The 24,532-nt window shown below is 55.2% G+C and overlaps 1 long non-coding RNA gene across 1 annotated transcript, besides 15 other annotated features; it reads left to right on the top strand.

Moving 5' to 3' along the window:
* Window positions 7,699-8,078: a silencer, noted in NCBI's record as "silent region_9800". NCBI's record gives its function as "represses an Ori minimal core promoter by ATAC-STARR-seq in GM12878 lymphoblastoid cells {active_cell/tissue: GM12878}" and the evidence as "EXISTENCE:reporter gene assay evidence [ECO:0000049][PMID:35858748]".
* Window positions 7,699-8,528: a biological region, named in NCBI's record as "H3K27ac-H3K4me1 hESC enhancer GRCh37_chr19:2494323-2495030".
* Window positions 7,821-8,528: an enhancer, noted in NCBI's record as "H3K27ac-H3K4me1 hESC enhancer chr19:2494323-2495030 (GRCh37/hg19 assembly coordinates)". NCBI's record gives its function as "activates a minimal SCP1, AML or CMV promoter by ChIP-STARR-seq in naive H9 embryonic stem cells {active_cell/tissue: H9 hESC(naive)}" and the evidence as "EXISTENCE:reporter gene assay evidence [ECO:0000049][PMID:30033119]".
* Window positions 7,868-8,162: an enhancer, noted in NCBI's record as "tiled region #4128; HepG2 Activating DNase unmatched - State 4:PromP, and K562 Activating DNase matched - State 4:PromP". NCBI's record gives its function as "activates a minimal TATA promoter and a strong SV40 promoter by Sharpr-MPRA in HepG2 and K562 cells {active_cell/tissue: HepG2 | K562}" and the evidence as "EXISTENCE:reporter gene assay evidence [ECO:0000049][PMID:27701403]".
* LOC124904614 (uncharacterized) lies at window positions 8,071-11,147 on the top strand. The gene is made up of 2 exons (XR_007067090.1): window positions 8,071-8,322; window positions 9,943-11,147. It is a non-coding gene; the product is annotated as an uncharacterized LOC124904614 (long non-coding RNA).
* Window positions 11,491-11,992: an enhancer, noted in NCBI's record as "H3K4me1 hESC enhancer chr19:2490859-2491360 (GRCh37/hg19 assembly coordinates)". NCBI's record gives its function as "activates a minimal SCP1, AML or CMV promoter by ChIP-STARR-seq in primed H9 embryonic stem cells {active_cell/tissue: H9 hESC(primed)}" and the evidence as "EXISTENCE:reporter gene assay evidence [ECO:0000049][PMID:30033119]".
* Window positions 13,369-13,468: a silencer, noted in NCBI's record as "silent region_9799". NCBI's record gives its function as "represses an Ori minimal core promoter by ATAC-STARR-seq in GM12878 lymphoblastoid cells {active_cell/tissue: GM12878}" and the evidence as "EXISTENCE:reporter gene assay evidence [ECO:0000049][PMID:35858748]".
* Window positions 13,489-13,578: a silencer, noted in NCBI's record as "silent region_9798". NCBI's record gives its function as "represses an Ori minimal core promoter by ATAC-STARR-seq in GM12878 lymphoblastoid cells {active_cell/tissue: GM12878}" and the evidence as "EXISTENCE:reporter gene assay evidence [ECO:0000049][PMID:35858748]".
* Window positions 13,589-13,798: a silencer, noted in NCBI's record as "silent region_9797". NCBI's record gives its function as "represses an Ori minimal core promoter by ATAC-STARR-seq in GM12878 lymphoblastoid cells {active_cell/tissue: GM12878}" and the evidence as "EXISTENCE:reporter gene assay evidence [ECO:0000049][PMID:35858748]".
* Window positions 22,411-22,910: an enhancer, noted in NCBI's record as "H3K4me1 hESC enhancer chr19:2479941-2480440 (GRCh37/hg19 assembly coordinates)". NCBI's record gives its function as "activates a minimal SCP1, AML or CMV promoter by ChIP-STARR-seq in primed H9 embryonic stem cells {active_cell/tissue: H9 hESC(primed)}" and the evidence as "EXISTENCE:reporter gene assay evidence [ECO:0000049][PMID:30033119]".
* Window positions 22,911-23,412: an enhancer, noted in NCBI's record as "H3K4me1 hESC enhancer chr19:2479439-2479940 (GRCh37/hg19 assembly coordinates)". NCBI's record gives its function as "activates a minimal SCP1, AML or CMV promoter by ChIP-STARR-seq in primed H9 embryonic stem cells {active_cell/tissue: H9 hESC(primed)}" and the evidence as "EXISTENCE:reporter gene assay evidence [ECO:0000049][PMID:30033119]".
* Window positions 22,911-23,905: a biological region, named in NCBI's record as "H3K4me1 hESC enhancer GRCh37_chr19:2479439-2479940".
* Window positions 22,996-23,055: an enhancer, noted in NCBI's record as "active region_13695". NCBI's record gives its function as "activates an Ori minimal core promoter by ATAC-STARR-seq in GM12878 lymphoblastoid cells {active_cell/tissue: GM12878}" and the evidence as "EXISTENCE:reporter gene assay evidence [ECO:0000049][PMID:35858748]".
* Window positions 23,326-23,905: a silencer, noted in NCBI's record as "silent region_9796". NCBI's record gives its function as "represses an Ori minimal core promoter by ATAC-STARR-seq in GM12878 lymphoblastoid cells {active_cell/tissue: GM12878}" and the evidence as "EXISTENCE:reporter gene assay evidence [ECO:0000049][PMID:35858748]".
* Window positions 23,976-24,085: an enhancer, noted in NCBI's record as "active region_13694". NCBI's record gives its function as "activates an Ori minimal core promoter by ATAC-STARR-seq in GM12878 lymphoblastoid cells {active_cell/tissue: GM12878}" and the evidence as "EXISTENCE:reporter gene assay evidence [ECO:0000049][PMID:35858748]".
* Window positions 24,476-24,525: an enhancer, noted in NCBI's record as "active region_13693". NCBI's record gives its function as "activates an Ori minimal core promoter by ATAC-STARR-seq in GM12878 lymphoblastoid cells {active_cell/tissue: GM12878}" and the evidence as "EXISTENCE:reporter gene assay evidence [ECO:0000049][PMID:35858748]".

Below are 24,532 nucleotides of genomic sequence, written 5' to 3'. Positions count from 1 at the left end.
CCAGCTACTTGGGAGGCTGAGGCAGGAGAATGGCTTGAACCCGGGAGGCAGAGGTTGCAGTGAGCCGAGATGGAGCCGCTGTACTCTAGCCTGGGCAACAGAGCAAGACTCTGTCTCAAAAAAAAAAAAAAAATTAGAGATCTTGTCTGGATTATCCAGGTAGGCCCAATGTCATCACAGGGTCCTTGTAAGAGGGTGGCAGGAAGGTCAGTCAGAGAAGGAGACATAACAACAGAAACAAGAGGCTGGAGTGATGTGAAGTCACAAGCCGAGTTGTACGAATAACTCCTGAAATCTGGAATACACCGGGAAACAAGTGAAAGAAGCTGCAGCCTTCACAGCCTCCATGCTACGATCCCAACTAGAAAAGATTCCGCAAAAGGCAAAGCTATACATGAGTAAAAACATCAGTGGTGGCTCACGCCTGTTATCCCAGCACTTTGGGAGGCTGAGGCGGGTGGATCACCTGAGGTCGGGAGTTGGAGACCAGCCTGACCAACATGGAGAAACCCTGTCTCTACTGAAAATACAAAATTAGCTGGATGTGGTGGTGCAGGCCTGTAATCCCAGCTACTCGGGAGGCTGAGGCAGGAGAATCGCTCGAACCCGGGAGGCGGAGGTTGCAGTGAGCCCAGATGGCACTGCTGTACTCCAGCCTGGGTGACAGAATGAGACTCCATCAAAAAAAAAAAAAAAAAAAAAAAATCAGGGGTTACCCAGGTTGAAGGAAGCGGGGATAAGGGTGAATAGGTGGAGCACAGAGGATTTGGGGAGCAGTGAAATTACTGTATGTGACACTGTCATGGTGGATATGTAACCTCATGCATTGGGTAAAACCCACAGAACACAGACCTCCAAGGGTGACCCCTACTGTAAACTCTGGACTGGGCTGGGTACGATGCCGAATGCAGACACTCTGCCTCTGCAAAGCAAAGAAGGGTCCACGCCACAGATGCCACAGAGCGCAGACTGATGGAGGGAGGGCACGATGGCCTCCTCAACCAGGCCGGGGAAGCACACCCAAATTAAGTATACATTGCCTCCCAAATCCAAGGAGATGCATTTGACGTCGTGCCTTCTCTTTGGTCCTGGGAAGGGCCAGAGGCAACAATTTATCTTTCACTTGACGTCAAGCAAGAGAAGGATAATGAGTACCAACAGCCAGCCTCCACATTGCACACATTTTGTTTATAATAATTAGAAAATTTGTTTTCATGCTAAAGAAAGGGTAAAAGAGCCATTTACAGGCAGCAGAAGCATAGTGCTTATCTAAGCAGAGACTTTTATTTTTATTTATTTATTTTATTTATTTTTTTTGAGACAGAGTCTCACTCTGTCACCCAGGCTGGAGTGCAGTGGCGCAATCTCGGCTCACTGCAACCTCCGCCTCCTGGGTTCAAGTGATTCTCTTGCCTCAGCCTCCTGAGTAGCTGGGATTACAGGCGCTCGCCACCACTCCTGACTAATTTTTGTATTTTTAGTAGAGACGGGGTTTCAGTATGTTGCCCAGGCTGGTCTCAAACTCCTGACCTCAAGTGATCCACCCGCCTTGGCCTGCCAAAGTGCTGGAATTACAGGCGTGAGCCACCACGCCCCGCCTTAAGCAGAGACTTTAAACCTGTCCATCTGGACTTCTGTCTCTGACCCACTGCCAGCCTCAAATCCCTCCCACTGGGATCTCCCCTCTTCCAGAATCCTTGCCTGCTCTCCAGTTCCCAGCCCTTCTGGCCAGTCCACGTGATTCCCAGAAAGTCCTCCACAAGCAACGGCAGGGCTCTGGAGCCCAGGCAGCCAATGAGGCAGGCTCAGGGTTTATTCTGCGCCCTCCCACACCCTCTCCGACCCCCGCCAGGGATCCAAAGAAAAGAGAAAAAATCCCACGAGGGGCCTGGGAGGGCACAGCAAAGTCTCCGGGATGGGGGCTCCCCCTGGGTGGCCGCGTCGGGTTCAGCGCTTTCTGCACTTGTGGCTGATCTGTAGCAGCCACCACAGGGTTTACAGTGGAAAGAGTGATGTAGGGCCTCACGGGTGAGCCGGCCCTAAGAATGTGCCACTCCTGGCCGGACGCAGTGGCTCAAGCCTGTAATCCCAGCACTGTGGGAGGCTGAGGCGGGCGGATCACCTGTGGTCAGGAGTTTGAGACCAGCCTGACCCACACGGAGAAACCCCGTCTCTACTAAAAATACAAAATTAGCCGGGCGTGGTGGCTCATGCCTGTAATCCCAGCTACTCGGGAGGCTGAGGAAGAAGAATCGCTTGAACCCGGGAGGCGGAGGTTGTGGTGAGCCAAGATCGCACCGTGGCACTCCAGCCTGGGCGACAAGAGTGAAACTCTGTCTAAAAAAAAAAAAAAAAAAGAATGTGCCGCTCTTTCTCGCCAACATTTATCACTCTGGGGAGAACTCCAAGCCAAGGTTGAGAAAGAAACATCTCCCCTGTTCAGAACGCAGACTGCCAGCGTACGCCAAGACAGGCCAGGGTGTCGTTGGGGGAATGAGCTTGCTGACAGGTGTCCAGTCTCGGCCCCGGCTCCGCCTCTCACTTACAGGATCTTTGGCGACAACATTCACTCTGGTCCCTTGGACCTTCCAGAGGTCATCCCTGTGTCTTCTAACTGCATTTGTCTGTCTCAATTGATCAGTAAAATGAGCAATTACAGTCGGAGCAGCACTGGGATTCTGGAGCAAATGGCAGTGACAATTCCTGCGTCTAAAGCCTCAGATCCTAGGGAAAAGATCTGCTTTCACCTAGGATGAGCGACCTACTCCAGAGAACATTCAGGAAAACCCGGCTTGCATTATCAGGTGGTTTACGTGCCTCCAGCCCACTCTGTGAGAATCAGGGGAATCTAAAAGGGTTCTGCCTTTGGTAACTACTCCTGTCCCACGACCCCTCCCCTCGAAGGCCACATGCAGTGGCCTCTAGAAAGGAAGAATTCTCAGCCAGGCGCGGTGGCTCACGCCTGTAATCTCAACACTTTGGGAGGCCGAGGCAGGCGGATCACGAGGTCAGGAGATCGGGACCATCCTGGCTAACACGATGAAACCCTGTCTCTACTAAAAAATACAAAAAATTAGCCAGGCATGCTTGCACGTGCCTGTAATCCCAGCTACTCAGGAGGCTGAGGCAGGAGAATTGCTTGAACCTGGGGGGCGGGGGGTTGCAGTGAGCTGAGATCGCGCCACTGCACTCCAGCCTGGGCAACAGAGCGAGACTCCGTCTCAAAAAAAAAAAAAAAAAAAAAGAAGACGAAAGGAGGAATTCTCAGGCCAGAGTCTAAACGTTTCATGGGACAGATAATCTGCGCAAAACTACAGGGTCAGAGCTGCAGACAGCCATCCATCTAGCAGAAGGCATGTCACGGGCTGGCTTGGGGATAAAAGAAAGCCAAAGTCCCATCCTTGGGTCATGGAGCTGCTCTTCCAGTCACATCCCCACATTGGGAGGTAGTAGTGGAAGCCGCCCTTTTCCAACGCTCCTGTTGTCTTGTCTATCTGGCAGCCTCCTCCCGACCACCTCTGGTGCAGACATCTGGAGCAGAGGGAGGGAGGAAGTGTGGTTCACGTCTGGTCTCTTTCCTGGCCAGCACACTTTCGAAACATTCCCCCTCCGTGGGCTCTGGGAGGTCCTTTGTTTGCAGAAGACACCTGAGGGTGGGAGAGCTGCACTGAGCTTGGGCTCAGGATTGTGGAACCCACTAACTTCCCAAGACTGTTGCTGGAGGACCAGAACAAGGGGATAGCTGAGGAGTGTGCCTGCATGGTCCCTGAAAGCATTCAAGCAAGAGGCAGCAGCAAGGCCAAATGGAAACAGAACCGGCTGGGTAGCTTCTGCCACCAACTTGGCTGAGGGACTTTCTTTCTTTGTTTTTTTGAAACGGAGTCTCTCTGTTGCCCAGACTGGAGTGCAGTGGCGCGATCTCGGCTCACTGCAAGTTCTGCCTCCCGGGTTCACGCCATTCTCCTGCCTCAGCCTCCCGAGTAGCTGGGACTACAGGCGCCCGCCACCACGCCCGGCTTATTTTTTGTATTTTTAGTAGAGACGGGGTTTCACCGTGTTAGCCAGGATGGTCTCAATCTCCTAACCTCAGATGATCCACCCACCTCAGCCTCCCAAAGTGCTGGGATTACAGGCGTGAGCCACCACGCCCGGCCGGGGACTTTCGACAAGTCATGGCTCCATGTCAGTTTCCTCATCTGTAAGGTGAGGATGATTATTAGCACTAAGGTGGCTGTGAAGATATTAAATTGGCATTAAGTACTTAATAAGCATCCAATAAATAAAACTGGCTGATGGTCTTAAGATACAGAAATGTACTTGATATCCAGCTGGCATACAGGACAGATAAATGACAGTTGCCTCCTGAATTCCACAAGCATTTCCTGCCAAATGCCAAACCCACATTTACTATCTGTTCACGGGTCTTATCCCGGTCAGGCCATCCGCCCTTGGAGAGAAGCAATATACTCATAAAAAATCAACTTGCGGGCCAGGCGTGGTGGCTCACGCCTGTAATCCCAGCACTTTGGGAGGCCAAGACATGAGGATCACTTGAGCTCAGGATTTGGAGACCAGTCTGGGCAACATAGCAAGACCCCGACTCTACAAAAAATAATTTTAAAAAATTAGCCAGACATGGTGGTGAGTGCCTGTGGTCCCAGCTACTCGGGAGGCTGAGGTGGGAGGATTCCTTGAGCCCAGGAGTTTGCAGCTTCAGTGAGCTATGATTGCATCACTGCACTCCGGCCTGGGCTATGGAGCAAGACCCTATCTCTTAAAAAAAAAAAAATCAACTTGCACAGTGAAAAAGATTTTTCTTAAAACAAACAAACAACCAGGTGCAGTGGCTTATGCCTGTAATCCCAGCACTTTGGGAGGCCAGGACAGGCAGATCACCTGAGATCAAGAGTTCGAGACCAGCCCGGCCAATATGGAGAAACCCCATCTCTACTAAAAATACAAAATTAGCTGGGCGTGGTGGCGCATGCCTGTAATCCCAGCTACTCGGGAGGCTGAGGCAGGAGAATCACTTGAGCCCGGGAGGTGGAGGTTGCAGTGAGCCAAGATGGCACCATCGCACTCCAGCCTGGGCAAAAAGAGCAAAACTCCACTAAAATTAATAATAATAATAATAATAATAATAATAAATAAGAGGTGGTGGGAGGTGAGAGTCAGAGACTGGAAGAGGCTGCACGGCCAGCCATGAACGTGGAGGAAGAGGCCCCAAGCTGAGGGAAGCAGCTGCCTCTAAATGCTGGCAAACGTGGAAGCCAGGTTCTCCCCTGGATCCTCCAGGAGGGCCCAGCCCTGCTCACAGCTTGATTTGGAGCCCAGGGAGACTGATTTTGGATTCCTGGCCTCCAGACTTGTCAGATAATAACTCTGTGTTGTTTCCAGCCACTGGGTTGGCAGTGATTTGTTACAGCAGCGGGAGGAAACTCATACGGTGCTCACAAATGCTTGCTGCATGAGTGAGGGCACCGGTGAAAGAATGCGGAGCAGCTGTGGAATACGGCCCGGGGGAGCCAGGGGACTGTGCTGGCCTCCTGTGTGTCAGCTGTCATGAGACCCTGGGCCTGGGAAATTATCCCAGGGTCTCAGTTTCCTGATCTGAAACGCCGGGGTCACTCTCGCCAGCCTCACGGACTGGGATAAGTAAGGGGGTGTGTCCTCTCAAAATGTGGAACCAGCCAGCACCCGGGATGTTCCTCTGTCCTGCAGCCAGCCATATCCCAGCGTCCTTTCCAGGACCCTCAGCTCCATTCTGCCAGGAGCTTGTTCTAAGACCTTTCATATATTCCCTCACCTATTTACCATTAGTCCATGTGACTGTCACCCCCTTTCCTGAAAGAGGCACATAGAGGTGAAGTCATCGCCCCAAGGTTGCTTAGCTGTTAAAAGGCAGCATGAGGGCTGGTCCCGGTGGCTCACGCCTGGAATCCCAGCACTTTGGGAGGCCAAGGTGGAAGGATCACTTGAGCCCAGGAGTTCAAGACCAGCCTGGGCAACACAGAGAGACCCCATCTCTAGTAAAAATTTTCAAAAATTAGCCAGTCATCGTGGTACATGCCTATATAGGCCTCACTACTCAGGAGGCTGAGTTGGGGGCATCACTTGAGCCCAGGAAGTCAAGGCTGCCATAAGCTATGACGGCGCTGCTGCCAGGCACAGTGGCTCACGCATGTAATCCTATCACTCTGGGAGGAGAGGCAGGTGGATCACCTGCGGTCAGGAGTTCGAGACCAGCCTGGCCAACATGGTGAAACCCCGTCTCTACTAAAAATACAAAACTTAGCTGGGCATGGTGGCGTGCACCTGTAATCCCAGCTACTCAGGGGGCTGAAGCTGGAGAATCGCTTGAACCCAGAGGACAGAGGTTGCAGAGAGCCGAGATTGTGCCACTGCATACTCTTCCAGCCTGGGTGACAGAGTGAGACTCCGTCTTGTCTCAAAACAATCAAAAAAAAAAATTAAAAACAAAGGTAGAATGTGGAAGGAAATGAAACCATCAGGGAATGAGCCCAAGATGTGTCCCATCCCAGTGTCCCCTCTGTGCCTCAGTTTACCCTCATCACACTGATCTTCCTCTTGGGAACATGGGAGCCCCTAGCCTAGGGATGTGGGAGTCAAGGTCTGTTCTCAGCAGGCCACTTTCCTGTGACAACCCTGAAAGGAGGTGAAAGGTCAGAGGCTGCTGGGTCGCCCCACCCTGCCCTGGAGACAGAATTCAGATACCTGGCGTCATGGATTCCCAGAGGTCTGAAAGTCCTGCTCACCTGGAACGTGGGAACGCCCTTCAGAGCTCCCTTCCCTCCCCGACCCAGGAAATATAGGGGTCTCCCCATTCTGGGTCTGGCTCAGGGACTGTGTGTCCCTGACTGCCCTCCATGAAGGAGGCCGCCCTTGGGTCTGCCGGGAGGAGGAAGACGACTAGGAGGAGGAGGAGGAGGAGGAGAGGCAGGGCGGCCAGCCTGAGTGGAGGAATCCCCGAACCGGCTAAAAATAGCCAAGGAAATTATTCCAACACCTTCCCAAAATAGAAAGCAGTCTCTGGGCCCAACAAAAGGCCAGGGCTGGTCGGCAGCTAGAGAGGAGGTGGCGTTTAAGAAAGGTGACCTGCGACAGCCCCCCCACCCTGCCCTCCCTCTACGGCCCTTCGTCCCCTAGAGTCTTCCAGGGCCAGGTGTGGGCAGAGGGGCAGGCCCAGGCGGGTGTGGGGCCCCTGGCTCCCCCTCGCCCCTGCCCCTCCCCAAAATCCTGGACCAAAGGGCTCCTGACCCGGGAACTGGGAGGGGCCAAGCCACTCGCGTTAAAAATAGCCCTTGCCTCCTCCCAGGCTATATTTAGATCCCTTGGCACCGGCGTCAGCAGGAAGGCAGCGGCTGGGCACACCCCACCGGGCCGCCCGGGCGCCCTGGCTCAGGCACCGCCCCTGGCCACCGCAGCTGGGCAGAGACCAACTGTATGGACAGAGCTGGCTGCAGCACCCAACTTGCTGGGTGGTGCCAGGACACCCGCAGACCCTCTCTGAGCCGGCTTGTGCAGGAGAGAGCGGGAGACAAGCTGGTGGGACTCTACACTGCAGAGGGCGCTGGGAAAAGGCTGCTCCCAGCCCCGGGCCCTCACTCTGGGGGCCCGGCGGGGCGGGCAGTGCGCCGGCCTCAGTTTCCCCATCTGTGCAATGGGACATTAACAGCACCCGCATCACAGCGCTCAGCTCACGGTCGGACACGCACTAAGCGCTCTGCACGGGTTGGCAGTCAACGAAAGTGGGTGTCACTGCTTTCTCCAAGTCCCCGTCCCGCCCGGGCCAGCTCCAGAAACGCAGGGGCTGATGTCATCCCCAGGCTCAAACCTCCCAGCGTGGCCGACGCAGGCAGGCGCCGCCGTCACGGGCGTTCCTGCGCCAGGGAATCCCGGCCCCGGCGCCGGGGCCCCAGTGGAAACCCGTGACGCCAGCGCCCGCCGCCGTGGGTCTTCCGGGCTGGCGGTAGCGGGGCGGGGCGTTCTCCCGCGCCGCTGACCCCACCTCCGCGCCAGCCCCGGGAACGCGCACGGCCTCTCTCCACCCTCCGCGAGCCCAGTGTGCTTGCGCTTGCGCTTGCCCCGCACTCAGTCGCCCCCTCCACGAGTGCACACTCCACTCACGCGGGATGCGCAGGACGCCGACAAGCAGGCGTCCACAGTGGGTCTGCAGGGACGCATCGCATGGGCAGGCCTGGTGGGTGTAGGTGTGCAGGAGTTCGTGGACATGCGTGTGCACGATCCCGCGTGGAAGGCACGGTGGACATGCGTGTGCACAATCCCGCGTGAAATGCAAAGGTAGGCATGCGTGTGCACGATCCTTCGTGGAATGAACAGTGGGTATGCCTGTGCACGTTCCCCTTGGAAGGCGCCGTGGGTACCCGTGCACGGTGCTGGCCCTTTGCAGGAGGATGGGGAGCCCTGGCTGGAGAGTACAGATTCCGGACACACACACTCACACACACACACACACTCATTCACCCTCTCTCCCGGTGCCCGTGGCCTGTGGGCGTGGAGCCGTGGGCGATGACTCTCAGGCTGTTCACCGTCTCCCCACCAGTCTGGGAGCTAATTACTGTCAGGACCAGACGGGGTGGCTGGAAAGATGAACAAATCGCTGTGTGTCTGCAGCCCGTCTGGAGCTGCAGGCCTCATAGGCGTCTGTTCCGGGGGTGTCGGGCGTGACGCGGCCCTGGGTGGAGGGCGGGCAGCCTGGGTGCTGCGTGCACCGTGGGGGAGCCCTGGGTTTCTGCGTGGGTCCTGGAGGGTCTGCGGTGAGTGATGGGAAAGTGATGGATGAGTGATGGGGGTCCGTGTCTGCCGTATGTGCCTTTGTGTGAAAGCGAGAGACAGGAGGCCTGGCGGCGTCTATTCTCCCGATCAACAAAGTGGATGTAATAATAGTATTTACCCTATAAGGTTACGGGGACCCAGCAACCTCACTTCTCTTGGTACTATCTGAAAGAAATACACAACTTAGGAGCACACAGAGACCAGGAGGTAAATGCACGTAGCAGCTTTGTTCCTCATCACCAAAACCTGGGAAGAGCTCAAATACCCCTCCATTCAGAGGGGAACAGGTCAACGGAGGTCGGTTCATAGAATGAAAGTTCAGCAGTCAAGAGGAACGCACTCGCCTTCAAAACATGCTCAGTGAGGCCGGGCGCGGTGGTTTATGCCTGTAATCCCAGCACTTTGGGAGGCCCAGGTGGGCGGATCACTTGAGGTCAGGTGTTTGAGACCAGCCTGATCAGCGTGGTGAAACCTCATCTCTACTAAAAATACAAAAAATTAGCCGGCCATGGTGGTGGGCACCTGTAGTCCCAGCTACTCCGGAGGCTGAAGCAGGAGAATCGCTTGAACCTGGGAGGCGGAGGTTGCAATGAGTTGAGATAGTGCCACTGCACTCCAGCCTGGGTGACAGAACACGACTCAGTCTCAAAAAATGAAATGAAATGAAATAAATGAAATGAAATGGAATAAATAAAATGAAAATAAAAATAAAGCATGTGCACCCAACACACAAACACACAGGTATGCACACTCATGCCAAAACAATTGCAGGGGCCCCAGCAGCCCCTAGAATCCCCATCAGAGGCTGGGGAGGAAGATCGGCGGCAGGAGGGACAGACAGTGCCTATGTGCCCCAGATTGTGTCTCTGTCACCAGCTGCCAGAGCCCGTGCCTGTCTGAGGAGGTGGGTGTCTCCGGACCGCCCACCTCTGTGTCTGTCTCCAGGACATAGGCTCCACCTCCCCCCAGGGCCTCACTCCCATCTCCTCCTCCCACCCTGGTCCCCCACCTTCCTGTCCCCACCCTTGTTGGCGGTAGGAACCTACTGTTTCTGGCTGCAAGAGGAGATGGTTGAGGGGGCCCAGTCAGGGCATCCGTTTATCATCCCTCTATTTCTCTTCTTAGCTCAACAAGAAGACCTTCCTGTCTCTGGGCCTCGGTTTCTCCGGCTGTGAAATGGAAGGATAGTTTCTTAGGGTATATGGGCATCACCTCCCCACCTGTGCAGTTCTAATCCCACCAACCCTGGCTGTTTCTGGAGCTTCCTGCAGGCAATGGTCTGAGCCATAGGAGAACTCAAATGATGGAAAATCACAGGTGGGGTGTAGGACTCCCCACACTCCCATGAACCCCTTCAGGCATGGAAGGACAGACACCTCAGGAGGGGATGGCTGGGGTGGGTAGCACAGGTAGGCTTGCAGGGGAAGAGAGGGGATATTTGTGTGTCCAAAATCCTGGCCGGGCACGGTGGCTGACGTCTGTTATCCCAGCACTTTAGGAGGCCAAGGTGGGCAGATCACTTGAGGTCAGGGGTTCAAGACCAGCCTGACCAACAAGGTGAAACCCTGTCTCTACTAAAAATACAAAAATTAGCCAGATGTGGTGGCATGCACCTGTAATCCCAGCTACTCGGGAGGCTGAGGTGGGAGAATCACTTGAAGCCGGAGGCGGAGTTTGCGGTGAGCCGAGATCACACCATTGCACTCCAGCCTGGGCGATGGAGCGAGACTCCATCTCAAAAAAAAAAAAGAAAGAAAGAAAAGAAAAAATAAAATGCGGCCGGGCGCAGTGGCTCACGCCTGTAATCCCAGCACTTTGGGAGACCGAGGTGGGCAGATCACAAGGTCAGGAGATCGAGACCATCCTGGCTAACAAGGTGAAACCCCGTCTCTACTAAAAAAATATGAAAAATTAGCCAGGCGTGGTGGCAGGCGCCTGTAGTCCCAGCTACTCGGGAGGCTGAGGCAGGAGAGTGGCGTGAGCCCGGGAGGCGGAGCTTGCAGTGGGCCGAGATCGCGCCACTGCACTCCAGCCCGGGCAACTGAGCAAAACTCCATCTCAAAAAAAAAAAGAAAGAAAGAAAAAAAAGAAAGAAAATGCGTGTCTCTGCATGAGGGCCTGTGTGTGGGCACCAGGCTCTGGCTTCTGGAGGTGAACAAATCAAAGTGGACTCAGGTGTTTCCTGGACATGAGTGTGTACTCTCAGGCGTGGGCTTATTCCCACCCCGTGGATGTCTAGAATGTCGTTTCCCAGGATCTTTTTGTTGTTTGAAGATGTGCAAATGTCTGGTATGCAGAGTAGAGACATTCAGTACATATTTGCAAAATGATGTGTTCGTGTATTCACTCATTTGTCCACTCAGCAAATATTCACCAAGTGCCAACCAGCTGTGGGGTGCTGGAGACGCACAGTGAGCAAAGCAGACAAGCATCTCTTTCCTGTCACCGCTATGGGTGAATTACCGCTGGGCCATTGCCTGTGCTGCACGGTTCATGTGCCAGGGTGACCCTGCACGTGTTCATGAGCACACCCGTTTGTAGGTGGGGTACAGAACTCACATCAGCATGGCCCATGCACGTGTGCACACATATACATGCACACCCGTGTGTGCGCACAGGTTCACCGGCGACTCTTGTGCAGGCTGGGCCTCGCCCGTCCTTGGCATTGCCTGCCTGCCCCGCCCATCTTCCGAAAGTGCCAGGGGCCAGGTGGGGCCAGGCGGGCCCGGAAACCTCTCCCAGCTGCTGTGCCCAGTTTCAGGGAAGCCAAGGTCTGGCGCCCTGCCCGTGGAGACTGCCTACCCTTGCACCTGCTTCCCGGGCTTCCGGGAAGGGCCTGGAGGCCCAGCCCCCAGCCCTGCTAGCCTGAATCCACCACCCAGAGGCACACAGCAGAGAGGGAATGCAGCCCCCTTTCCCCCCACACCTTGGAGCCCTTCAAAGTCAGAACCAGAAGAGACTCCAGCAGGGCAGAGTCTCTTACCCAGGTGGGGTAAACTGAGGTGCACACAAAGGGCCCAGAGAAAGGGGCTGCACACAGATGAGTTCCCTGCACTCTACTCCCACCCCAAATCAGCACGTGCAGGCTTCCACAGTTTGAGTACTGGCACCTCATGGATCTCTGTATACCGCGGGTATTCACAGGCCTCGGGGCTCTGTGGAGTGAGCATTGGAGCTTAGAAATATTTGCATTTCCCTAGTGGGAACACGCAGTGCAGGTCAGAGTGCAGGTGTGCACACCAGGGTCTTAGACACATGTGGGTGCTTGTGCTTGCATGGACAAGGCTGTTTGTGCCGGGCACCATGGCTCACATGCCTGTAATCCCAGCAGTTTGGGAGGCTGAGACAGGCAGATCACCTGAGGTCAGGAGTTCGAGACCAGCCTGGCCAACATGGTGAAATGCCGTCTCTATTAAAAATACAAAAATTAGCCGGGCGTGGTGGCAGGTGCCTGTAATCCCAGCTACTCGGGAGGCTGAGGCAGAAGAATTTCTTGAACCCAGGAGGTGGAGGTTACAGTGAGCTGAGATTGCGCCATTGCACTCCAGCCTGGGGCACAAGAGCGAGACTTCATCTCAAAAAAAAAAAAAAAAAAATGAGGCTGGGCACGGTGGCTCACCCCTGTAATCCCAGCACTTTGGGAGGCCGAGGCAAGTGGATCACCTGAGGTCAGGAGTTCAAGACCAGCCTGGCCAACATGGTGAAACCCCATCTCTGCTAAAAATACAAAACTAAAAATACAATACAAGCTGGGCGTGGTGGCGCGCGCCTGTAGTCCCAGCTACTCAGGAGGCTGAGACAGGAGAATCGCTTGAGCCTGGGAGGGGGAGGATGCAGTGAGTTGAGATCGTGCCACTGCACCCCAGCCTGGGCGACAGAGCAAGATTCCATCTTAAAAAAAAAAAAAAAAAAAAAAAAAGACAAAAAGACAAGGCCGTTTGGGAGTGTGGGAGCTTGGGGGCTCCTCACATGAATGTTTGTCAGTGGGTGCCTGTGCACGGTGGGTGTTTGCACGAGTGCAGGTGCAGGTGTTTGCATGTAGGTGGATGCCTGCACACAGTCGGTTTTGTATGTATCTGGGTGTCTGCACGCAGTAGGCATTGCGGCCAGGTGGGGCTCTGCACACAGTGGGCTTTGCATGGAAGAGAGGTGCTGCATACAGTAAGCCCAGCGCGAAGACAGCGATCTGCACACAGTGGACGTCTGCACGCAGGAGAGGGGCTGCACCCTGTAGGCACTGCAAGAAGGTAGGGCTCTGCACACAGTAGGCCTTGCATGCAAGAAAAGGGTCACACACAGCAGGCGTTTGCACGCAGGAGAGGGGCCGCACACAGTAGGCATTGCAGGCAAATGGGGTTCTGCACACAGTAGGCTTTGCATGGAAGGGGGGTGCGGCGCACAGTAGGCCCTGCACGAAGACGGAGATCTGCACACAGCGGGCGTTTTCACACAAAAGACGGGCTGCGCACAGTAGGCCCGGCTGCACGCGTCCAGTGCCGGCCCAGCGGAGAGTAGCGGCTGCAGCCCCGTGCAGCTGAGCACGCACCCGGTTCCTGTGCCACCGCGGCCCCAGGCTCTTCTGCGCCCGACCGGGCAGGTCAGGCGGCTCCGCCGGGGCGTGGGGCGGGCGGCCGGGCAGGGAGGCTATTCCGGGCCCTGGCGCAGTGCCCGAGCCCTGCGCGCCAGGCCGCCCGGGGAAGGCGCCGCTCACAAAAGGAGGGTCTGTGCAGACGCCCCGCCCTCGGCCCGGCCGCCCGCCGCCAGGGGCTTGGAGGAGGGAGACGCCGCCGGAGCTGCCGCCGGCCCGGACCCCCCAACCCCTCCTGCCGGGGCGGCCGCAGACACCGCGCCTGGCGGGCAACAGAGGGAGGCTGGCACCGCCGGGCTCTGGAGGGGGTCGACAGCCGGCGCTGGGGGCTCCCGAGCGCACAGACTGCGCGCCCAGGGCGCACCGGAGGGAGCGCTGGCGAGGGTGGGGGCCCCCAGTGCAGGGAAACTAGGACAGGCCCCTTGCCTTTCGCCCACTTGGGGATTTCTCCGTCTCGAGCACCCGCCTCTGTCTCCAATTATCCAATTTAAGGAACGGGAAAGCCGGGACTCCTGCCTGCTAGGGAGGGCGGACGGGAGGGGCGTCTGGGGCCTGGGTCAGCGCCCCTCTCCACCCCCAGAGTGTCTGGCCAGGGGGTGAGGTGGAAGGAAGGAAGGCGTAATAAGGGTTCTCAAGGCAGCGCGTTTTGCTAAGTGCCTTAGTGCACTGTCTAGTTTCACCTCGACACGTGGGAGGGCGATTCGGCTTTCCCTTTTATGGACGAGGGAAACTGAGTCACGCTTTTGCTGAGCTGCTGGAGCTAGTAAGCCGCGGAGATTCAAACCTAAAGCCAGGCCTCCGCCCCTCCCTTTTCCTCCCTGTAGGGCCTGAACTCTGCCCTCCCTCCCTTCCCTCGCATGGAGCCATCCAAGAAGCGTTTATGGCGTGCCTGCTGTGTACACGGCGGCCCAAACACTTCCCCACGCACACGCCTGTGAGCGCAGGCCGAAGCTCCCACACTCGTGCGCTCTCGTCACATGCGCAAGAGGGTCTTGGCCCGCAGCGCTCTTCACGAGGCCCCTCACTCTACCCCACCCCCACCCCCAATGCACCCCGGCTCCGGGGCCTGGGAACCGCCGGCGTCCGGGTGGAGGGAGTGGGGTGGGAACTGGGAGCACGGAACGGAACAATGTAGGGAAAGAATAGCGAGGAGCGGCGAGAGGAAACCCCCCACCCCTTCTCCAGATGCAGCTCTGGTGTGGCTGTCCCGTGTGCCTGCGGTCTCCCTGGCCCAGCGTCCTGGGGAGCAGGTCCTTGGCCTTCCCACTGTGTGGCTATGGGTCGTTCTGGGTCTCGGGGGTCCCTCCTGGATCCCTAGGGATCTGTAAAGCTGTGGGTCGCGTGACCTACATGTCCGGGGAGCATGCTCCAGGCTCTGGGGTGGGGGCTGGAGAAAGTGACGTGCAGGGCTCTGAGCCTCTCTCTGCAAGACTCCGTGACTCTCTGCTTCCTCCAAGGAGACCCACCCTGGTTCCTCCCTCGCCTCCCCGGAGCCCTGGCTGGGCACTGCCCCGACCACGAGGTGGAGATCACAGGGGCCAAGGCCTAGAGCTGGGAAGCTGCAGGGAGTTCTGGGGCTCTGAGGGCTGGGCTCTTGGCGGTGGTCTGCAGAGAGAAGGGGGTCCCGGGAGAAAGTAAGGAAGAGTGACGGCTCAGGAAGCCTCTGCATTCCTTCTGCTGTGTCCTAGAAAAGGGGAGACCCGGTTTAGGGTCCCCTGCCACAACATCCAACCCACCACATTGAAAGTGTACCCAGGGGCCGGCCATGGTGGCTCACACCTGTAATCCTCGCATTTTGGGAGGCAGGAGGATCCTTTGAGCCCAGGAGTTCCAGACCAGCCTGGGCAACATAGGGAGATCCTGTCTCTATTTAAAAAAAAAAAAAGGGGGGTACCCAGGGGGTTGCCAATGCACCCTGAAGTCTGAGAACCAGTGCTTAAAGTGCACAAAAGGGCATGGCAGATGCTGCTATGTCCCCTTGGCCACCTGGGAGCTGGCTTCCGACAATTTCCTACAGTCCAACGGCTTCCCGTGTCCCTTTGCCTGGGGTCTTTCTCTAACAGTGTGCAAACCTACTGCGTGCAGCCCCTCTCCTTCATGCAAACACCTGCTGTGTGCAGCGTCTTTATTGCACGCAAGGCCTACTGTGTGCAGAGCCCCACCTGCGTGCCATGCCTACTGTGTGCAGACACCCAGAGACATGCAGCACCTACTGTGTGCAGGCACCCACCTGCGTACAGACACTCACCGAGAACCCCCTCTGGGTAGGCAGGAAGTACCAGGGAGTCAACACCCCAGAACACCCCTCAAACGGGGGATGCAGTTGGTTAATAAGTAGATGCCAGCCGGGCACGGTGGCTCACACTTGTAATCTAGCACTTTGGGAGGCCGAGGCAGGCAGATCACATGGTCAGGAGTTCGAGACCAGCCTGGCCAACATGGCGAAACCCCATCTCTACTAAAAATACAAAAAATTAGCCGGGCAAGGTGGCACGCACCTGTAATCCCAGCTATTTGGGAGGCTGAGGCAGGAGAATCGGTTGAACCTGAGTGAGCTGAGATCGTGCCACTGCACTCCAGCCTGGGCAACAAGAGCAAAACTGTGCCTCAAAATAAAATAGCCGGGCGCGGTGGCTCACGCCTGTAATCCCAGCACTTTGGGAGGCCGACACAGGCGGATCACAAGGTCAGGAGATCGAGACCATCCTGGCTAACATGGTGAAACCCCGTCTCTACTAAAAAATATTAAAAAATTAGCCGGGCGTGGTGACGGGCGCCTGTAGTCCCAGCTACTCGGGAGGCTGAGGCAGGAGAATGGCGTGAACCCGGGAGGCGGAGCTTGCAATGAGCCGAGATCGCGCCACTGCACTCCAGCCCGGGCGACAGAGTGAGACTCCGTCTCAAAAATAAAATAAAATAAAATAAAATAAAATAAAATAAAATAAAATAAAATAAGTAGATGCCCCCACTGGCTGTCTTGCCCCATTGTGACCACACCTCTCACAGTTCCCTACGGGGCTCAGCCCCAGATGCCCACAGCAGGGACCTCTTCAGGGAGGCACCATCGTCTCTTTCCTTCTGTGCTCTGGACTGCGTCATTGCAGATGCACGTTCACCCATGAATAGGGGGTTGATATGCAAATGCACACATCTGTGTGTCTGAGACCAGGTGGCCCTGGGTGTGTGCTTTGATTCCTTCAGTGTTTTTTGAGACATGCCACCATGCCAGGCTAATATCTTTTTTTTTTTTATTTAGATGGAGTCTTGCTCTGTCGACAGGCTGGAGTGCAGTGGCGCGATCTCAGCTCACTGCAGCCTCTGCCTACCGGGTTCAAGCAACTCTCTTGCCTCAACCTCTCGAGTAACTGGGACTACAGGTGCACTCCACCACACTCAGCTAAATTTTGTATTTTTAGTAGAGACAGGGTTTCACTGTGTTGGCCAGGATGGTCTCAATCTCTTGACTTTGTGATCCGCCCACCTCGACCTCCCAAAGTGCTGGGATTACAGGCGTGAACCACTGTGCCCGGCCATATCTTTTTTTATTTTTTGTAGAATCAAGGTCTCTCTCTGTTGCCCAGACTGGTCTCGAACTCCTGGCCTCAAGAGATTCTCCTGCCTTGGCCTCCCAAAGTGTTGAGATTACAAGCGTGAGTTACCATGCCCAGCCTTCCACATCTTTTGTGGAGGACACAATTCAAACCATAACATCCTCACACAAAAACACCCACCCAAGTCTTTCCGGCCACGCATGCTGGAAACGTGAATGAGAATTCATACTCAACACGCAACAGACACCCACACACCCATACACACAGATGCCTCTCTTTATCTCGTTCTCTCTTGTTTTTCTAAGCCTAACACAGGCCCTCGCACACAGTAGGGGCTAAATAAATATTGAATGAGTCAGGCAGGGTGTGATGGCTCAGGCCTGTAACCCCAGCACTTTGGGAGGCTGAGATGGGGACATCACCTGAGGCCAGGAGTTCGAGACCAGCCTAGGCAACATAGTGAAACCCTAGCCAGTCATGGTGGTACTTGCCTATAGTTCCCGCTACTTGGGAGGCTGGGGAGACTGAGGTGGGAGGATTGCTTGAGTCTGGGAGGTCGAGGCTGCAGTGAACTGTGACAGCACCACTGCACTCCAGCCTGGGTGACAGAGGAAGACCCCATCTCTTAGAAAAATAAAAATAAAAAATGGCAGGGCTCGGTGACTCACATCTGTAATCCCAGCACTTTGGGAGGCCAAGGCAGGTGGATCACTTGAGGTCAGGAGTTTGAGACCAGCTTGGCCACCATGGCGCAACCCTGTCTTTACTAAAAATACAAAAATTAGCCAGGCGTGGTGGCAGGCACCTGTAATCCCAGCTGCTTGGGAGGTTGAGGTGGGAGAATTGCTTGAGCTGCAGTGAGCTATGATCATGCCACTGCACTACAGCCTGGGCAACACAGTGAGACTGTCTCAAAAAATAATAAATAGACCTCCAAACCACCAGCCACAGAGGTCGTGCCCTGGGGCCACTCTGGGGGAGAGGTGAGCAGCATCAGCAGCTATGGACCTCCTATTTGGGGTGATGAGGAAGGTGCAATCACGAGTCCCCAGTTGGTCAGGAGTTCTGGGTGTCCAGGGCTCACTCCAAGGATGCCAAGAATTGTAGCAACAGCCACACGTGTACGTATATTGCTGTGTTCCCACATAGCAGCACAAGTCCTCATGGCCCAACACACCGCGGTGTGCAGAGATTCAGAGACAAATTCCAACTCACATTAACAGGCAGCTATGCAGATATTCATGTACAGGCAGAAAGCATTGTATGGTGTACTAGCTCACTAATAATAGCTAACTTTTCTGCAAGCTTCTCCCCGTTCTAAATGCTTTGCATAATGTAATTAATTTAATGTTCACAACAGCCCCGAGAGAGATGGGCACCACCATTGGCATCCCCATTGCACCAACAAGAAAACTGAATGCAAAGAGGTGAAGCAACTTGCCCGAGGCCACGCGGCTGGCCTCCTCCACAGAGCCAGGTTCCAGCCTTCCTGAGCTGAGAGGTGTCACTCTACCTGGCCAGGACCCAGCACCTGGCAGATCAACGTGTGTCCCTTAGGGCCGAAACTGTCTGTGCTGGAGCATGGACACAGAAGGTCATCAGCAGTTCAACCTCTCATCATACAGACTTGACTGAGTCTTTATGCCATAAGCATTTATGAAGTGCCGCCTGTGTCCCAGGTTCTGGGCTAGCCACTAGGGATCTGGGGGTGAGAAAAACAGACCTTCTCCCCTCCCTCTGGGAGTCTGCAGCTTCACGCAGAAGATAGACAAGAAGCAAATAACAGGATTATAAATATGTCATTACAAATGGGTGCAGGGGCTGGGCAGAGCAAGACTCTGTCTCAAAAAACAAACAAACAAATAAATGGTGCAAGTACCAAGAAGGGCAGGTGGGCAGAGATAGTACAGAGGTCATTCCAGGTCTTGTTTGGAGGGCTTCCTGGAGGAGGTGGCATCTGAGATGTGAGCAAAAGGAGAGTAGGTGTTAACTAGGAGAAAGGTAGGGAAGAGTGTTCTGGCCAGAGGCATCAGCACAGGCCCTGGTTGGATGTTAGAGAGCCAGGTGTATAAACAACATGTGGGTTGAGGATTTGCATGTGCAAGGCCCACACATAGTGGCTGGTCACTAAATACGAATTGTGTGTGTGACTCTGAGTGCCTTCCCAGGGATGGCCGTCCACACGTGAGGGTGCTAGTATACTGCTGGGATTCCCAGGCACATGTTCTGGGGAGCAGAGGCACAGGGCAGGCCACACAAGTTCAAATCTTTTGTGTTTTGAGGCAGGGTCTCACTCTGTTGCCCAGGCTGGAGTGCAGTGGTGTGATCACAGCTCACTGCAGCTCCAGCCTCCCAGGCTTAAGCAATCCTCCCACCTTAGCCTCCCCAGTAGCTAAGATTACAGGCATGCACCACCACACCTGGCTTAATTTTTGTTTTTGTTTTTGTTTTTTTTTAGAAACGAGGTCTTGCCATGTTGCCCAGGCTGGTCTCGAACTCCTGGGCTCAAGCAATCCTCCTGCCTCAGTTTTCCAAAGTACTGGGATTACAGGCCTCCGCCACTGCATCCAGTATGTTCAAACTTTGATACCGATACATACAACATCATGGATGAGCCCCCAAAACAGTGTGCAAGCAAAAGAAGCCAGACACAAAAGGTTGCACATTTTATGATTTCATTTATATGAAATGTCCAGAACAGGTGAATTCATGGAAAAAATGTGGAGTAGCGGTTGTCAGGGGTTGGGGGAGGGGGCGTGAAGAGTGACTGCTAATGGTGACAGGGCTTCTTTTGGGGGTGATGAAAATATTCTGGAATTCAATAGTGGTGATGGTTGCACAATTTTGTGAATATACTAAAAACCACTTAGTTAAAGACTTTAAAGGGGTGAATTTATGGTATATGAACTATATCTCAATAATATATATCATTATATTTATATATAGTGTGTATACGTACTATATATGTGTACATATATACAGTATATATACTGTGTATGTGTGTGTACATGTGTGCATGTCTGTGTATGTGTGTGTACGTGTGTGTGCGTGTGTGTGCATGTGTGTGTGTGCATGCGTGTGTGCATGTGTGTGTGTGTGTGTGCATGCGTGTGTCTGAAAAAACAGTACTTTGAGCCACGCTGGCCTTGGTTTGGTTCCTGGCTCTGCCATTGTACCTTGTGACTTTGGACAAGTCACTGCACCTATCTGAACTCCACATTCTCTTTCTATAAAAAGCAGATAGTGGCTGGGCGTGTGGCTCCCACCATTTTGGGAGGCCAAGGCAGGAGGATCACTGGAGCCCAGCAGGTTGAGGCTGCAGCGAGCTATGACCACATCACTGCACTTCAGCCTGGATGACAGAGGGAGACACTGTCTCAAAAAACAACAATGGCTGGGCGTGGTGGCACACGTCTGTAACCCCAGCTACTCAGGAGGCTGAGGTGGGAGGATCGTTTGAGCTGAGGAGGCAGAGGTTACAGTGAGCCAAGATCGCAGCACTGCATTCCAGCCTGGACAACTGAGTGAGACCCTGTCTCAAAGGAAAAAAAATTAAAAAATAAGGCCGAGTGAAGTGGTTCACACCTGTAATCCCAGAACTTTGGGAGGCTGAGGCAGGTGGATCATCTGAGAGATGGAGTCTCTCTCTCTCACCCAGGCTGGAGTGCAGTGGCACAATCTCAGCTCACTGCAACCTCCACCTCCTGGGTTCAAGCGATTCTTCTGTCTCAGCCTCCCAAGTAGTTGGGATTACAGACATCCACCACCACGCCTGGCTAATTTTTTTGTATTTTTAGTAGAGACAGGGTTGCACCATGTTGGCCAGGCTGGTCTCAAACTCCTGACCTCAGATGATCCACCCTCCTTGGCCTCCCAAAGTACTGGGGTTACAGGTGTGAGCCACCACACCCGGCCATGGGAGGCATTTCTATGGACTCATGTGTCCTCTTGCAGGCGACTCTGTGTCCGTGGCATGCAGTATGTGTGTGCGTGCGTGTGAACATGTCCATGTCTCCAGCTGTGAATATGACTGCATAGCGGGGTGTGAGCGTGTGTATGCGTTTCAGCCTGTGAGTGTAGGTTCAGACACAGGCCATCGTGGGCACCCTGGGGTGAGCACGCACCCAACTTCACGAGTCCGGCCTGGGAAGCGTGTCTGCCTGCAACCTGCGGTGGGCACTGCCAACTCTTCCACTCACCGTCGTCCAAGGAATACACACATGTATCCTGGCATCCAGTCCTGAGTGTGGGAGCCCAGAACGGCCCGTGCCAGCTGACTGAGGCTTGGTGCCCTGTGACTACTCCTTCCTGACCCAGCGTGAACTTGAAGGGGTCTGGGGAGCTGGGGGTGTTGCATCCCCCGGGTCCTCTCAACCCAGAGTTTTCCCCAGAGACTGACCAGCCAGACACCGACAATTCAAGACTCCTAGCCAGGCTGTGGCTCCTCCATTCTGAGCCTCAGTCTCTTCTTTGGGAAGATGGGACAACAGCATCTTCCTCACGGGGCCACAGTAAGTTTATAGGTGTTTACAGTTGAGTCCCAGAGAAGACTGAATCAACCTAGCTGCTATTATTAATTCAATGAAACAGCATCCTTCAAAGCCAGTTCCTGTACTTCCCTGGCTTCGGTCAGGGAGACCGTGGAATACTTTCATAAATGACAACAACAATAACAACTGCAAGAGTACTAACAATAGGAGAGGGCCGGGCGCGGTGGCTCCCGCCTGTAATCCCAACACTGTGGGAGGCCGTGGCTGGAGGATCACTTAAGGCCAGGAATTTGAGACCAGACTGGGTAATATAGTGAGACCCTATTTCTTTTCTTTTTTTTCTTTTTTTTGAGATGGAGTCTCTCTCTGTCGCCCAGGCTGGAGTGCAGTGGCGCAATCTCAGCTCACTGCAAGCTCCGCCTCCCGGGTTCACGCCATTCTCCTGCCTCAGCCTCCCGAGTAGCTGGGACTACAGGTGCACGCCACCACACCCAGCTAACTTTCGTATTTTTAGTAGAGACAGGGTTTCACCCTCTTGGCCAGGCTGGTCTCGAACTCTTGACCTCACATGATCCGCCCACCTCGGCCTCCCACAGTCCTGGGATTACAGGCGTGAGCCACTGCGCCCAGCCTTCCACATCTTTTGTGGGGAAGACAATTCAAACCATAACAGGCATAAGCCACCACGCCCAGCTAAATCTAAAATTTTTAAATGAATGATCTTTTAAAAATTGGGGAAAAAAAACCATGATTCTGGAAGTACATTGAAGGAAGCCGGTCAAGGAATCTATATTTCAGGGTCTGTTGTTTGTTTGTTTGTTTGTTTTGAGACAGGGTCTCACTCTGTCACCCAGGCTGGAGTGTGGTGGTGCCATCACAGCTCACTGCAGCCTCAATCTTCAGGGCTCAAGTGCTCCTCCCGCCTCAGGCTCCCAAGTAGCTGGGACCACAGGCCCACACCACCATGCCCAGCTAATTTTTAAATTTTTTTGTAGAGATCTGGATCTCTCTATGTTTGCCCATGCTGGTCTCAAACTCCTGGGTTCAGGGATTCCTCCCCACCTCCCCCAAGCCTCCCAAAGTCTTGGGATTACAGAGAGTGAGCCACAGGGCCGGCCCAGGAATCTATATATCATTTAACCTCCTCAACAATCTATGAGCTAGGTAGCATTATCCCCCATTTTTCAGAGGGAGAAACTGAGGCACAGACAGGTGAAGGTCCTGGCTGAGGGTCCCACCACTGGGGCCCCTCCATGCCCTGTCTCCACTTGGGGCTCAGGAGCCTGAGATCCTGCTGCACAGTTCTAGAGACCGAGGAGCAAGAATGGAACAATCCGGATGGAGACAGACCATCCGATCCCCGGGGGCATAGCCCTCCGAGCTGGCCTCGCCTCCCTACCCTACGAGGTTGACCAACGAAGAGCCAGAGACTGGGAGCGGTGGCTCAGACCTGTAATCTCAGCATTTTGCAGGCCAAGTCGGGCGTGAGGTCAGGAGTTTGAGACCAGTCTGGCCAACATGGTGAAACCCCATCTCTACTAAAAATACAAAAACTAGTGGGTGTGGTAGTGGGTCCTTGTGGTCCCAGCTACTCAGGAGAATCGCTTGAACCCAGGAGGTGGAGGCTGCAGGGAGGCGAGATCGTGCCACTGCACTCCAGCCTGGGCGATGGAGTGAGACTGTCTCAAAAGAAAGAAAAAGAAAAGCCAGAGCTTTTCCAGGCCGCCGCTAGGCGCACCCTTGCCCCACCTGGTCCTTCCCCACCTGGAGCCCCCTTGGGTTTTGGCCCCACATGTTCTCCCGCACCCCAATCCCTCAAGAGCCCCTCGCCCTCTGTCACTCTTCCCAGGTGCCCTCCCCTCTTGGGCTCCATCTCAGGGATCCCCACTCCATCACCCCCTACCCCCTCGGGGCTCCCGCCTCTTCGCCTCCATTCTCCCCTCCCCCAACCCCTTCGGGACTCCTACCTGTCTACCCCCCTCCCGGGGTTTCCCTGTTGGTTCAGGGCTGTGGGGGATTCCCCTTCCCCTTCTTGGGCTCCCCTCTCCCCACTTCAGTTCTCCCCTCCTCCTAGCCCCAGGCGGGATCCTCTCCCCTCCCCGCTTCTCCCTCTGGGACTTCCCCCTCCTTCTCTCTCTCCCTCCCCCGTCGGGGCTCCCCCGATCCCCGTGACTCCTAGGGAGCCGCTGGGGTTTTCCTCATGCGCCCACGTGAGGCTCCGTGGAAAGGTCGCGGCCTGCGGGCAGGACCACCCCACCCCCTCCCCACTCCCCCCTAGTTCCCAGGCTTGGGGGCTGCAGGGCAGAGGGGAACCGAGGTCGTCCCGGCGCCTGGCCAGGGCGGGCCCACTCTGCAGACCCGGGGCGGGAAGACTGAGGCCGGGCACGGAAGGGCTGGGCCACGCTCCCAGCCCGGGGCAGGGGGAGTCACCACCGCGCCTGCAACTTTGGGAGAAGTAGGAGGTGGCTGGCCAGGGCTCGCAGTTTCGGTTTACAGGCAAAACGCAGCACTGCGCCAAGCCCGGCTGGCCCGGAGGCCGACTTCCTGGGGTATTTTTCTGCTTGTTGATTTTAGTTTGCGGAAATAAAAAAAGTTTTTTTCTTTAGTGCAAAAGAGAGGCCTATCCTGGGATGGAGAAGGCTGTGGTGGGCTGGGGGGGCACTCCCTGGGGAAGCCTCCAAAAGCGCTCTTCCTTGCAAGCCCTGAGCTCACCTCGCTGTGTGGTACCAGGTGCCCCCTTGACCGATCCGGACCTTGGGCTGCGGTGGCCGCCTAGGCGGTCAGGGGCTGCAGCCAGCACCCCCTCCCGCTGAAATGCCTCCATATGTGCCCAGAGCTTGGGGTTGGCTCCTGCACAGCCAGTAACAGTGGTGGCACGGCGGCCAGGTTTCGTAATAAACCGGTCTCTTAATTGCTGCAGGGTAGGAGGAGAAGGAAAAAAAAAAAGAGGCATAGATTTGTTGGAGTCGGTGGCGGCGCCTGCTGCGGAGAGAAGGGGTACTGTTTCTGCACGGGAGCCTGGAGCTGCTAACAGGGGCTTAAGTAACACTTCCTGGTGAGCTGGCGGGGGTTGTGGGGGGTGAAGC

The sequence above is a fragment of the Homo sapiens genome, chromosome 19 (assembly GCF_000001405.40).
Source record: "Homo sapiens chromosome 19, GRCh38.p14 Primary Assembly".
NCBI classification, from domain to species: Eukaryota; Metazoa; Chordata; class Mammalia; order Primates; family Hominidae; genus Homo; species Homo sapiens.
Note: the sequence above shows the minus strand (reverse complement) of the source record. Positions and strands in the feature narration are given on the sequence as shown.